This window comes from Homo sapiens, chromosome 11 (assembly GCF_000001405.40).
Source record: "Homo sapiens chromosome 11, GRCh38.p14 Primary Assembly".
Lineage (NCBI taxonomy): Eukaryota > Metazoa > Chordata > Mammalia > Primates > Hominidae > Homo > Homo sapiens.
The window spans coordinates 91,293,950-91,309,416 of record NC_000011.10 but is presented as its reverse complement, the minus strand read 5'-3'; positions in this window follow the sequence as shown (position 1 = coordinate 91,309,416).

Genomic DNA, 15,467 nt, shown 5'->3' with positions numbered 1-15,467 from the left:
TGGCGATTCCTCAGGGATCTAGAACTAGAAATACCATTTGACCCAGCCAACCCATCACTGGGTATATACCCAAAGGACTATAAATCATGCTGCTATAAAGACACATGCACATGTATGTTTATTGTGGCACTATTCACAATAGCAAAGACTTGGAACCAACCCAAATGTCCAACAATGATAGACTGGATTAAGAAAATGTGGCACATATACACCATGGAATACTATGCAGCCATAAAAAATGATGAGTTCATGTCCTTCGTAGGGACATGAATGAAATTGGAAATCATCATTCTCAGTAAACTATCGCAAGGACAAAAAACCAAACACTGCATGTTCTCACTCATAGATGGGAATTGAACAGTGAGAACGCATGGACACAGGAAGGGGAACATCACACTCTGGGGACTGCTGTGGGGTGGGGGGAGGGGGGAGGGATAGCATTAGGAGATATACCTAATGCTAAATGACGAGTTAATGGGTGCAGCACACCAGCATGGCACATGTATACATATGTAACTAACCTGCACATTGTGCACATGTACCCTAAAACTTAAAGTATAATAATAATAATAATAAAATAAAAATAAGAGGAAGAGCAGGGATTTGAATGTATATCTGCCTGCCTCCAAAATCCTGTATGGGCACAGCCTTTTATTTAAAACCCAGACACTGAAAAAAAAAATCCTGTTTATTCTTCTGTAAATTTCTACCATCTGCTGAGAAGCTGGAGCATCACCTAGCCTGAACACTGTCTTATTACCAGCAAATAAATGTCAGCGTAAAGACCGTAGAAATCATCTGTTACCTCAGTCTTCAAGAAGTGCATCCACCCGCACCTGACAGCACTTTCCAGCAATGCTGGGAAACATAAATAGATTAGTGAGTCTGGAGTCTTAGGGGGTGCGTAACCTTATGTTTCTGAACATTTAACTTATTAAAATTCACAAAGAAAGACCTTATGGTGCCATCATTTTATCCAACTAACATCATCAGTATGGCTCAAGGGCTATGGCTTTCTACACTCACCCTAGCAGCAGTGAACATATGGTTTTACTTCTCTCTAAAGCCTCAGGGCATCTGACAGTACCTTTCATGGATAATGGATAAAGGCTGCCATACCGGTAGGTAACTTCTGTTCCATCAGTACTGCCTTAGTGCCAAGAATGCTGAACAAATTCCAGGAGGTTTTGAACTGACCTAGGTCTAGTCTGTCAACAGTAACAACCTTAGGAGCAGCAGGGGCAAATGCTTCCTGTTTAACTGCGCTTTGGAGTTCTTCTATGTTTGCTTGAGCTCCTTAAAGAAGGAGCCACACAGTTAAGCCACAGGTTGTAGTTGCCACATTTTTTATTATTGCTTTGACTGTGTTACTTTGTTCTTTTTGATATCTGCCTTACTGCTCCTGGGTTAGAAATTACAACTTTTTGTTACAGTAGCCTCAAGGAACTATGGAAAATATGCTTTGACAGTGCATTCAAAGAAAGTAAGGTAGTTGAAAATGGTTTTGCACATTGTTTCCCACATTCCCTACAGCAGCTGAGCTATAAATAGCATTACTATGTTTTAGTGTCAGTATCTTCCTAGTAATTAAATATAGTTTTATCTAATCTGCAATCCATTGTCAGTTGTTCAAGAGGGTCAGCGTCTCCTTTCCACTTTCCCCAGGAATTCTCATATTGAGATGTAGTGCAGTAGATTTATCAAAGTCCTGGAAAGCAACTAAGCTAAGCAGTGAATTTTCAGTTATTTTGGAGAGGAAACACATGAGTAATTTTCTCATCTTTGGAATTTACTATAGGATACTGAACACAAAGAGGATAGGCTTTGGAATCTGATTTAACCAGGTCCAAGTCCAACCTCCACTAGTTCTGGGTCATCTTCAGCAATACTTAATTTGCTAATTACTAGTACTCCTACTTATTTTCCTCCTACTTTCCTTCCCCTTATGCATATGAATAACTATTACCATAACTCACAACTTGTCTAGGAACCCACATCAGTACTCACCATTGACTTATTTATGACACATCTAATTCTTATCCCTGTGCTTCATAATTTGTGTTCAATATCTATCCTGGACTTTACCTTTCCTCATAAGCTCCATAGAGAAAAACTCTAGTAAAAGGCATTAATTTTTTTCACCTGGGCCACAGCCTGTACATGGTCTCCTCCATTTCATTCATGTACCCTTTACAGTCTATTGTCCACAAAATTTATCTCCATAGTCCTCCACAGCCAGAGTGAACCTCTTAAAATTAGATCACATAATTCCTTTGCCGAAAGCCATCCCTTGGCTCAAATTAAAATTCCATACCCTTTATGATTGCCTACAAGACACTGGCCCTGGCCTATCTTTCTCTCCTCATTTCTTTCTACTTTTGATCTGACCACTCTGTTCCCAGCAACTTAGCATTGTTGATGCATCATGAAGACACAGAATTCACTCTCATTTCAGGACATTTGCCTCTGCTGTTTGCCCTATCTGGAATTCCCTTCCCCATGATATTTATGCTAGATCCTTCACATCATTAAGGTTTAACATCGCCCTTGAGCATCATATTTAAATGGAATTTGTCCCCATCCTAACTCTGTCCTCTAATTCTGGTGGTGGCTCGGCATTTGATTGTGACTGTCCCTAGTTTGTGTGTTTATTTATTTATGACATTAATGATTTTTATTTCTTTTGCTTAGTGTTGAAACTCTAGTATTCACAGAAGGATCTGCAAATAACAGCATTACATATTTGTTGAATAAATATGTTGATAAATGAATGAATAAGATCCACTTTTAGAGAAATAATTCCTCCCTTGAAGGATTGCTGTAAGGATAAGAATGAAAATATAAGGCAATTACTAACCATGTTGGGAATGAAGCTCTCACAAACTGTTGTTGTTACTGTTACTACTGTTGTTTCACAAAAATTTTGATAGACATTACAATTCTTGGACACATAATAAAAATGTAACATACTTAGGTCTATTTTTAATGTATTATTATTTATTATTATTGATGACTAAATGTGACCATCACCAGGCTGAGACTTGGGTGTGATTTACAGTATCTGTAACTGCCATTATCTGTTGATGTGTGCTTATGTAATTATCTAATTGTGACTTTTTCAGTATTATTTGCTTTGGTAATACCACCCTCAGATTAATTTTAACTTAAATTTTTATCTATAATTATTGTTTAATGTATCTTCCAATATATTACACCAACAATGGTGTATTAAAATGATTTTGTATGCAGAAATTCTGTGAAGCAGACATACACAGACACAGTCATATGTTTTACTGTTCTACTTCATTTCCCAAATATTTTCATGTGCTTATTAGTGGGGCTTCATTGTGAGGCTCAGCTTGCCCCCTCACTGTATCCATCCCTTAAGAGACTTACAGGTATCAATCTAATGTCCTGTCCATTTGGCAGCTACAGGGTAGGAATGGATACAGGACAGAGAAAGATAACTGGAAAATCTTTGCAGGATTCTAGCCCAATTGCTTCAGTCATGGTAGCCAGACTCACTTTTGAAGTTTAGTCCGTCAGAGACTACAGCTGCATTGAAGTCTTCCCTGATGCCCAAGGGCAACTTGCTGAGCTTGTTTGAATTGCCCATAGTCATTTGCTCAGTCACATCTATGGAAGGGCTGGCCCTCCTCTGCAAAGCTGAGGAAGTTTTCATGCCTATTTAACTACTTCCTTCTAATACATTCTCCTGTGACCTCTATAACAGAGGACTTTGTTCAGGATCACCTGCTCCTCTTCATTAGACCTCCCTGGCTACACTATGGGAGATGAGGTGTTAAGTGCTAACGTGCCTCTCTCTAGTGATAAGAGCTAAGGATCCTCGGGGGAGGGGAATATTGCAGGAAAGCCTTCATTATGCCAAGAGTTCCACTGCAAGCTGTCCTTTGGATTGTGAGTCTATTCACCTAACAGCTGCATAACTAAGAGTAGCTCTGCAAATGACTCACTTCAAGCATTAACATCCACATCAAGCCCTCCTAATAATTTAAAAAGAAAACAGGGGTAGGGGGAATGCCGCCTAGTTATGCCCCATTATTGTTTGATTAGTTTACAATAATAAACCACCACTAGAAACAAAATTTATTGTATTTATTGTGGCATTTTCTGTATCCTGAAAAGGTATTCTTGAATTGAAGGTATATCTTAAAATCACTGATATTTTAGAATTTAGAAAATACACATGTACACAGAGCAAAAGTGAAGCTATTATCACCTGGCATTATAGTACCAAACTTGACATAAATCTTATGCTAGAAATTCCCTTTCCCTTTGTAAGGTATTTTCAAGTTATCCAAAGTCAGTTTGATACATTTCAACCTCAAAGCACAAAACCTATTCTTGCTTCTTTGATGTGAGTAAACACTAATCTAAAGCTTACTACACATTATTTGCCCTAAGACCATCTAGGATCTACCCATTGCAGACTTACCAGGCAAGGCAGCCTATTGTTCAGAGTCTAGCTACAATTTAGGAAAATAAAATGTTTCATAAGGAAAAAGAAAGCTAGATGTCTTTGACTTGTGCAGCGAGTCAAAGATAAAGAGACTTTTACCCTGTGATCTTTATTACCAAATAATACTGTACCCAATACAAACCCCAAAATTCACCTAACCGAGATTAGACCTTTTCTTAGGAAATCTCATGACATGCCCTTTATGTGAGTCAGAGAAGTGAAACTGTTGAGCTGTTTTCCAATAGGCTGTCAATAACTAAAAGAGATGTCAAAATAATGGGATTTGTTTACTCCAGATACGTTATTGGAAGAATAGAATAAGCTGAATTTTTCCTGCAAAGTCCCAATTGTGTAAGGTTTTATTTTATTAACAAAATTAAGTCAATAAGTGTATAACTTCATGTAGTTCTTCATTTATGTTTTTTGGAAAAAATTCTCATGTTGCTAGGACACTTTTTGTAAACAATCAACAATAACAGACATATTTGTTTTCATTAGTAAAGCTTTAAGCAAGATTTAATTCTTCATTTAAGAACCACTTGAATGACTCCTCCTAGTTACAAAAATGTAAGTAGCCACCCATTCAACATATTCATCTTTTGTGATTTGATGAAGGCTAACTTTTTAATAATTTTCATAAGAATCTCTGCACTACTTGGCATAAGAATCTCTAGGAAGAAAGGGAATGAATCTCTTGTCTCTTCTCCAGATTTGAAGTTAGGAAAACCTGTCAGGGAAGATAAGGAGATTATGAAGAAAACCTTCTATTAAATAAGATATATCAAGTTTATACTTCAAAGTCTTCAAAGGTCACATAAAATTATCTAAATAATTGCTTCAAAGGATTGTTGTGAAGATTAAATGAGGCATATAAAGGACATAGAAAAGCACCTAAAAACCCCGATATTTGCTGAGATACACAACCCACATCCTTTTCAAGAAATATAGAATGGATTCAGTCATTGCCATGTAAACATTGCTCAGTGAATGTTAATGTTGTTATCATTTTACTAGTCATCAAACTTCTATGTACAGTAAATGTTATGATAAAAGAAATCTCATCTGTATTTTTTCTACAGTGAGATTAATGAGTCATTTTATATTTATTAAAAGAAGTGAATGCCAACATGATATGCCATATTTGAAAATGACTAACAAATCAATTTCCAGTCTCCGCACTAGGTTCAGTTTATTCTTTTTCTTACTGGAATTTAAAGGAAGTGATTAGGGACAGGTTTGAATCTGAGATTTTCCAATGGGAAAATTATTATCCTATGAAGAAACTTTAAAACGACACTATTTTCCAATTCCTGAGCTACAGAAGAGCAATTGCTACTCAAAACCTGACATTAGCTACACTTAGGTTGTTATCTGTCTAAAACCAAACTTAGATTATCTGTCTGTCCCTACAAACTCTCCAAATGCCTGTTTGTTTACTGGCTGTAGCATCCAAGAAGTTGAGAAGAGAAGTGTCCATTTATTATTGCCATGGGCATAAGGTTTTCTTTTCTTTAAACAATGCTAAAATCCCTTGGTCATTGCCATGTAGATTTTTTAGATTGGAAAATATCAGTTCACTGAATATAAAATATGATTTGGCCACATGCAATTTCTAGGAGTAACACTTGTTAAGCATAACCACTTCATGAAACTCCCTCCCCTCTGGTGGTACAATGATCAAGGAAACGAGCAAACTGACACATGACACTTCTAATAGAAAGGACATAAATTAGCTCACTGCCACAGGTTTTTTGTTTGTTTGTTTTCCTGATTGTAGATTCAGTGTTGCTTTCCTCTTGTGGATTTTCTTGACAAAATAATTTGGTATTTTACCTAAGTCTCTCCAAACTCACCAAATGCCTGTATGTTTGCTGGCTTCTGAGAGTCACTTACAAAAGTGTTTAAAAGAAGCAAAATCAACGGCCTTCTCACTTGACATGAAGAACCCACTTGTAGAAGACATGGCTCAAAAGTCTCTTCTCAACACAGCTGTGCTAACAGATTGCTGATCAGTGAGTGACCTTTTTCATCAGAGCAGTTCAAAGCTGCCTTTCCAACTTTGTTTTTAATTTAATTATCATTTGAAGGGAGGAAAATCCTTTTATGCATCACTGAGAAAGAGACTGTATCTTGGGACTACAGTGACGATGATCTTGCCTATTGCAAGGCCTGAGAACTGTCTGGTAAAAGCAAAACTTTGTTCCAGATCAGAGAAGCATTTAGGTTAAAAATAATTGGGTTGCTCTTCAAATAATACAGAACTTAAGTAGATTGAAAATAGGAAAAGCAAATATTCTCTATAAATCTCAGACCCTACTTGGGACAATAAAAGTCTTTGAGCTGATGGTTGCCTTGTTTTATTCCATTATTTCGGGGGATAATCTTTGTTTTAATTCTAGTGTGAACCTTTGTATATTGCTTTCCCATGTAAACCAGGGCAGAAAGCATCTCATGGCTTTATTTATCCAAACACTATCAAAATAGCATGTATGAAAAAATGAATAACTTAGGCAAGGCTAAGTTATTTCTGATCAAGAGATTAATAAACGTGCTATATTTACTAACTTTGAATAGAGGTCCCAAATTCATAAGGGTTTCCTCTCATTCCTACTTTGCCATGGTCACCCATTGTGTAGTGGATGACTGGTTTTGTTCTCTCCATGTAAATGAGCCTATAGTCCATAGGCCGATATCCATTACAGGTTAACTCCTGACCCTGACTTTGTTCTCAGCTTGTGTGTTGAAAAATTGTACCTGCCCTGCCCTCTGCTTTTCAATCTGCCTTTGCTATCTTCACTTCTGACCTCTTGCCTCCTTTCTTTTGCATAGCTTACAAGGTCTTGATAATCCCTTAGGAGATACTTTCTAGGTAGGCACCAAACATAATGTTAACCATTAAGAACACAAGAATAAGGTATATCCTCTTTCATTTATATGTTTTGTCTCACAGTAAAGATAGGCAGAAAGATCATTTCAGTAAAGTGGGATATTAGCAGGTGGTCTTCCATAGGTCGATTTAGGTCCTAACGCTTCTTTCCTCCTGCAGACCTCTCATCCCCAAGGACCTTTATGTTCTTGGCTTCCATCTGGTGGACAGAGAAAAAAAGAGGGTGAAGACTTTGTAAGGAATTATGGGGCCAGATTTGTTGTTAGGTATATTCATTTCACTCCTGTCCATTGTCAGATCTTGTTCATATGGCCCTCCACAATGTTGGCTAGGCGTGTTAATTTTCTATTGCCATTGTAACAAATCACCACAAATTTAGTGGCTTAAAAGAGTACAAATTAATTTTCTTACCATTTCAGAAGTTAGAAGTCTGAAATCAGTTTCACTGGGCAAAATCAAGACTTGAAGAGGAGAATCCATTCTCTTGCCTTTTTCAGCTTCTAGAGGGTGCCTGAATTCCTTCGCTCATGATTTCTTTGTGGCATCACTGCAAACTCTTGCTTCCAAGGTCATATCTTCTATTACTTGTTATTCTCCTTCCTCATTTTTATAAGAGCCTATCTGAGTACAGTGGCCCCAAGTTAATCACAAAGGCTAATCTCTCCAATGTAAGATCCTTAATTTAACCACATATATCAAGTCCCTTTTACCGTGTAACATAACATCTTTACAGAGTCTTGAGTTAGGATATGAACATCTTTCAGAGCCATCATTCAGCCTATCATAGGAAGAAAATAGTCTTGTTCTGTGCTCTGGGGGAGAAGGAAACTGATTTGGTGAACAGTTTGCCAGTATGTATAATAATAAAAAAGTCTATTACATATTGCATATTTACTTTTTTTGATGTGTATCGTATCTGGTATATCAACATACATATAAATACCAGATAAATATTTTATTTGCATTGTCTTACTCACCAAGTCTGTGCATAAAGTATGATTATTTCTAATTTACAAAGGCATAAAAATAAGGCTTAGAGGATTTAAGTACTTGCCCAAAGTATCAAGGTTAGTGGTGGAGTTGGATTTAAAACAAGGTGTGGCTGACTGTAGAACCTGTCCCTCTTTATCACTATAAGGCACTGTCAACATAGACTGAAACACAGGATACTATTTTATTAGACCACAAAAAAAGGAGACTTTAGCCCAAAGCAGAGCTGCGGGGTTAACTTCACTGACATATTAGATACAAGGATTGGTACTAATTTTCAGTTGATGACTCTTACTTCCCAGGGGCTACAATCTCTCATTGCCTCTTGATTTGTGTCTCCCTCCAGCTCTTCCTGCAAACCTACTAGTTGAAATAGTTGGCTCCTTGTCATCTCCACCAATCTCAGAATCTGTGACTAAAATAATTCTCTACATTCTGTCACTCTAGACCTAAACTGACCTGAGCCATGGTGAGGTATTGAGATGGGGAAGGGAATGATAATAAAATTCAGGTAAGGAAGAATTCAAAAGACAGAAATGTGGGGCAAGGATCAGGGCAGGCTCAGAGAGGCTCAGAGAGGCCAAAGGCCTGGGTGACCGCTACTTGGACAGTGGGGTTCAGTAGAGAGAAATGTCTTCCAGCCTTCAGAACAGCAGACCTCCAGGTTTTCTGCCTCATATTTCACATATCAAGATTGCATGCCAGAATCTCTCTATCAAAAAGATTTTGATTTGTATCTACTCAAAAGAAATTACAGATTCTGTATGGACTCTTTCTTTGGCAGAAATTAAGTTAATATGCCAGCACATGGTGACCCAAGTGACCCTTTTTCAAAAAAAAACATGAAAGTGAGTCATTGTGGTTTGTGCTGACAAGCACTGAGAAATGGTAACCATTCTTTCTCTTTTTCGCAGTGACATCTGTTGACTTTCTCATAATGTCTATATAATGGACAGTAGAAGATATTATGGTACAATTTAGTAAGTCTTTGCTGCAGAAACTTCCTCACTCTCACTAAATGAGGATGACCCACTAATTTAAAACCAACAAACATATTTGAAACTCCTGATTGTTTGAATTCATGATAAGATACTTCTGTTACCTAGTTAGCCAAACCTGAAGTCATCAGCTCTTTTAAATGAAGTATTCCAGAGGACACCACTTTCGCGTACAAAGCCATTTTAACACAGTGGGATGTGAAGTGGACAGAGTGCTCTAACTTATAACCAACTTTTCAGTAAATGTGGTCAACATACATTCAGCAGGGACCTACTCTTTTCCAGGCACCAGGCTAGATGGTGCAGGGAATCTAGGTTCATGTCTTGTCTTTGTTAATAATTAGCATTGTGAACTTGAGGAAAAGTACCATTTTCTAAGCCACAGTTTCCTTATCTCTAAAGTGAATATAATGATACTTGACCAATCAGCCTTAGAGAGTTGTTGGGGATTTCAAAGAAGGTAATATATTTCACAACTCTTTTGTAAATGATAATAAAGATTATACAAGCATTTACTCTTCATATAAATGGGTTGTGCTTGGCATTCAATTCAAACATAACATACTGGGTTCATTTAGTTTTCAATTCTGTTGAAAGGGAACTCACTTTCTTAAAGATTATTTGAAAATAATCATCTGTCCACTCCCCCACACTGAATTGCATAAGGTTACTCTATAAATTTCTTGATAACCTGTAGGCTAATTCCTTAAAATCTTAATCGTCTTTCTGGGCTCCCATGCATTATGTACAATACCATTGTTGCCAACACAGGAATGCAATACTCATGAATATATAATGTGTAACTATTCACCTCTGACATATTTAAGTATATGCATGTTATGTCTCCTGGCAAAATTACAGAGTACAAATTATTTCAATTAATAATAATGCTTTTCATGAAATTAATTACACATTACATTGAGATTTTGAAATTGCATGGTGAAATATAGTTGCAAACACAGCTATTAAAACTGTATTAGGGGCCGGGCGCGGTGGCTCACGCCTGTAATCCCAGCACTTTGGGAGGCCGAGGCGGGTGGATCATGAGGTCAGGAGATCGAGACCATCCTGGCTAACAAGGTGAAACCCCGTCTCTACTAAAAATACAAAAAATTAGCCGGGCGCGGTGGCGGGCGCCTGTAGTCCCAGCTACTCGGGAGGCTGAGGCAGGAGAATGGCGTGAACCCGGGAAGCGGAGCTTGCAGTGAGCCGAGATTGCGCCACTGCAGTCCGCAGTCCGGCCTGGGCGACAGAGCGAGACTCCGTCTCAAAAAAAAAAAAAAAAAAAAAAAAAAACTGTATTAGGAAATCTCATTCTACCCAAATCTCTCTCCTCAACCCATGTTTCAAACTTTGTAATAAAGAATCAGCTAACTTGTGTTTCTTTAACTGATAGTGCTCTTTATAAGAACAGTGGACTTTTTATGTACATTATTTCAAATCTTCTAGATAGGATACTAGATGATCTTATGATGCATATTTTTACTGGCAAAGGCATTGGGGAAAAAATAAGAAATAAAAAAATACATAAATGTGTGTCTAAATAACTGTGTTATACACTTAGTTCCACAAAATCACAGGACTGGGAGGGAGTTAATGTAGTCTGAACTTCCTGTAGGTGATTGATTCCTTCCTTACAAGTACCTAGCAAAGGGCTGACCAATCCAGCATTTTATCTTCCAGTATGGAAGAGGTCATGACTACTCAAGGAAGCACATTCCATTGTGGATAAATTTTTATATTGAATAGTTTTCTTTTAATTTTTAAAAATTAATTATTTAGCTGACACATGGTAGACTCAAGGATAAAGAGAACAAGAAATAAATAGTCCATATCTTCTAGCAGTTTAGAATCTAGATTAAAATATGAAAAAAAGAATGTTGAACTTCTCTATCAAATACATTAACTCTCTGTAGTCACAAGTGTGAAAATGACTATACCAAGGTAAAATTATTTGCTGATTTATAATTTATACTATGTCTTATTCCAAGGTATATTGGAAATTACTTAGAACACAGTTCTTATTTCCTAATTAGAGGTTACATACAAGTTAATGTGAACAACTTACAGTTTTCCTGAAATGGTAATACAAAATAAACTTGCTGACCACATTTTTGTATAAGAAATATTAAATAGCATTTAAGTGATATCATCATATATGATTTGAAAAAGAAAACCTCCCTTGATTGTTCCATTAGTCTGTAGTAATTAGATTAATTTTAGATATCAGAGCAACTACGTATAGTATTCAGAATAGTTTATCACGTTCACCTCCCAGCATATAGATACATTACTTTCTATGATACGTACCTTCTCTCTATGACATTTGAACAACTTAATACACTGGAATTTGTTTGAGAGAACAACTTTTTAAGTTAAATTATTGGAACCCAACTTAAGTCCCCTTAAGATTATCCTCTTATAACAGAGACTTACACATGAAATATGCTTCAAGTTCACCTGCCTATGGCTAAGTTCTGAATTGAAACAAGGTAACTTAAAACAATTTTTAATTTAGTAATTATTTAAAATAACCAAAAAGAGAATAAAAGGATATAATATTTTAGTAGGAATGATAAGAATTTATAATACCCTGAGTGAATGTGAAATAATAGATATTCCATTCTGCTGATTGTAGGTCATTAAAACTAGTCTTAACATGTGCTCTTGTTTTAGATTTTCATTTGTTTAACCTAATTCATTGTGACTCTTCTTAAAAGTAGCATTATTGAGATACAATTCACATTCCATACAATTCCTCTATTTAAAGTGTACAGTTGAATTCAGTAGATTTTATTGCATACACAGTTATGTAGCTATTAATCACATTCTATTTTTTCTGCATTTTCATCACACCAAAATGAAACCCCGTACCCATTAGCAGTCATGCCCCCGCTCCCCTCTGAGCTGAAGAACAAATAATCTGTTTTCTATATTTATAGATTTGCTCATTCTGGACAGTTTTTTGTAAATAAAATTATATAATGTGTGATTTTTTTATAAGTGGCATTTTTCACCTATAATAATGTTTTCAAGATGCATCCATATTGTAGCATGTATCTCTATTCCACATCTTGTTGTTGATGGACATTTAATTTTTTTCCACTTTTGGGCTGTTAATAATCCATAGATGTTCATGTTTACATTTTTGTGTGGACATTATGTTTACATTTATCTTGGGTATATACCTAGGGTTGGAATGCTGAGTCATATAACTATGTGGTTAACATGTGGAGAAATGGCCAAATCTATTTTCACAGGATTGCAACATTTTATATTCTCACCAGCAGTAGTTTGAGGGCTCCAATTTCTCCTCATCCTCCCCAATGTGTTATAATTGCCTTTTATACATTAGTTTTTATTTTAAAAACATGACAGATAAAATTATATGTACTTATGCACACGATGATGAAACACATTTTGAATAGGTAAATCTGGGTAATTAACATATGTATTAGTTCACAGTTACCATTTTGTAGTGAAAACATTTAAAATTTACTCAGCATTTTTAAAGAATATATTATTAACTATAGTCACTATGTCGTACAATAGATTTGTTTAACTTATTTATTTTGTTGACCTAAAATTTTGTGTCCTTTGACCAACATCTCACCCACATATCCCCCACCTCTAATGCTCCAGCCCCTGATGACCACCATTCTAGTCTCCACTTCTATGAGATCAACCCTTTTGATTCATCATGTGCTATTTGTCTTTCTCTTCATGGCTTATTTGTCTATCTTTTATTTCCATGATCTTAGTGGGTATAAAATATTATTGTAGTTTGACCCTGCATTTACCTAATGACTTATGATGCTCAGCATCTTTATATTTTTATTACTGACTTGCAAGAGATACTTACATATTCTTGACACAAACCCTATGTCAGATATGTGACATAATCTTTTTCTTAATCTGTGGGTTGGCTTATAGCTTTATTAATAGAATCATTTCAGAATAAAACTTTTTAATTTTTGTGAAGTCCTAATTTTAATTTTTTTTCTTTTGTCGCTTGTGTTTTTGTTGTCAAGTCAATGAAGCCTTTGCCTAATCCAAGATTGTAAAGATTTCCTCCTGTGTGTTCTGTGTTAGGCTGTTCTTGTGTCACTATAAAGAAATATCTGATGCTGAAAAATTTATAAAGAAAAGAGATTTAATTGATGCATGGTTCTGCAGACTGTACAAGCATGTTTCTGGCATCTGCTCAGCTTCTGGGGAGGCCCCAGCAACTTTTACTCACAATGAAAGTGAAGTGGGAGCAGACACATCATATGGCCACAGAAGGAGCAAGAGAGAGAGGAGTGGGGGTTACCACACAGCTTTAAACAACCAGATCTCATGTGAACTCACTCATCAACAAGGGGATGGAGCTAAGCCATTTATGAGGGAATGAACTTCCATGATCCAAACACCTCCCACCAGGCCCCTCCTCCAATATCGGCGATTATAATTCAATATGAGGTTTGGCAGGGACATATAGTCAAACTAGATCATGTCCTTTTAAGAGTTTTATAATTTATCTTATATTTAAGCCACTGATTGTTTGAGTTAATTTTTGTGTGTGATGTAAGAAAGGGATCCAGTTTCATTTGTTGTTGTTGCATGTAGATATTTAGTTTTTCCAGGGAAATTTATTGTAAAGACAATTATTTTCCCACTAAATTGTCTCAAAACCCTTGAAAATCAATTGTCTATTTATAGATATAAAAGTTTATGTAGGAGTCCATATTTAGTTAATCTACATGTCTCTTCTTTTTCTAGTACCACATTGTTTTGATTAATATAGCTTTATAGTAAGTTGTAGAAAGTAGAATTCTGAGTCTTCCAATTTTCTCATTTTTGAGATTATTTGGACTTCAATGTTTGCTAGAACTTCTATACGAATTTTAGAATATAATTGTTAATTTTAGCCAAAACAAAAGCAGCTGGTATTTGGCAGGGATTGTGTTGAATCTGTAAATAAATTTGGACAATATTGCTATCTAATCCATGAAAATGGAATGCAGCTACATCTATTAAGGTCTTCTGTGATTTCTTTGAATAATATTTTCAAGTTTTGAATGTAAAAGTTTAACATTTTTTGTTAAATTTATTACTCCAATTCTTTTTGATATCATTGTCAACAAGATAATTTTCTCAATTTGTCATATTCTTTTTGTGAGTTCATAGAAATACAATTATTTTTGTAAAATTATATTATAAGCTTACCAAACTCATTTATTAGTTATCACAGATTTCCCCCCTTCTCACCCTAGCAGTGGATTCTTCACCCCTACATATGAGATCTTGTCATTTGCAAATACGTATAGTTTTACCTCATCTTTTCCAGTCTGCATGACTTTTATTTCTGTTCCTTGCCTAATTGCCCAGGCTAGAACTTTCAGTACACTATCTAATAAAAATAGCGAAACAGGCATTCTTGTATTGTTCAAGATTTGAGACTAAAAGGGTTTAGTCTTTCACAATTAATATGGTATTAGATGGTGTTTGTCAATATTATTAATGCCTTTTTAAAATATACTTTTTGCCTTATTTATTTTCTCTACAGTTTTAGTATTCTCTATCTCACCATTTTCCATTGTAATGTCTATTCTTTTTTCTTTTAACTGATTTTACAATGTTAAACTTTCCAAAATGTCCTTTCATTATTGATTTTTAATTTAATTCCATTGTGGTGAGCAAACTTTGTATTACTTCAATCGTTTTAAAATTTTGAGGCTTGTTTTATAGACTAGTGTTTGGTCTAAACTGGAGATGTTACATCATGTGCATACACTTGAGAAGACTGTGTCTTCCATGGTTGGGTGGAAATTCTGTAGATGTCTGTTAGGTCCTCATTGGTTTATCATAGATTTTAAGATTTCTATTTCATTTATCTTCTGCATAGGTGTTCTGTCTATTATTGGAAGGGGGCATATTAAGGTCTCCAAATCTTATTGTTGATGTGTCTATTTCTTCCTTCAATTTTGTCCCCCTATTACTTCTTATATTTGGGGGTTCTGTTAGGTGCACATATATCTATACTTTTTAATGTTTTTTGATGAATGGACTCTTTTTCATAATAAAATGTCCTACTTTATTTCGAAGAAAACTTTGTTTCAAAGTCTATTTT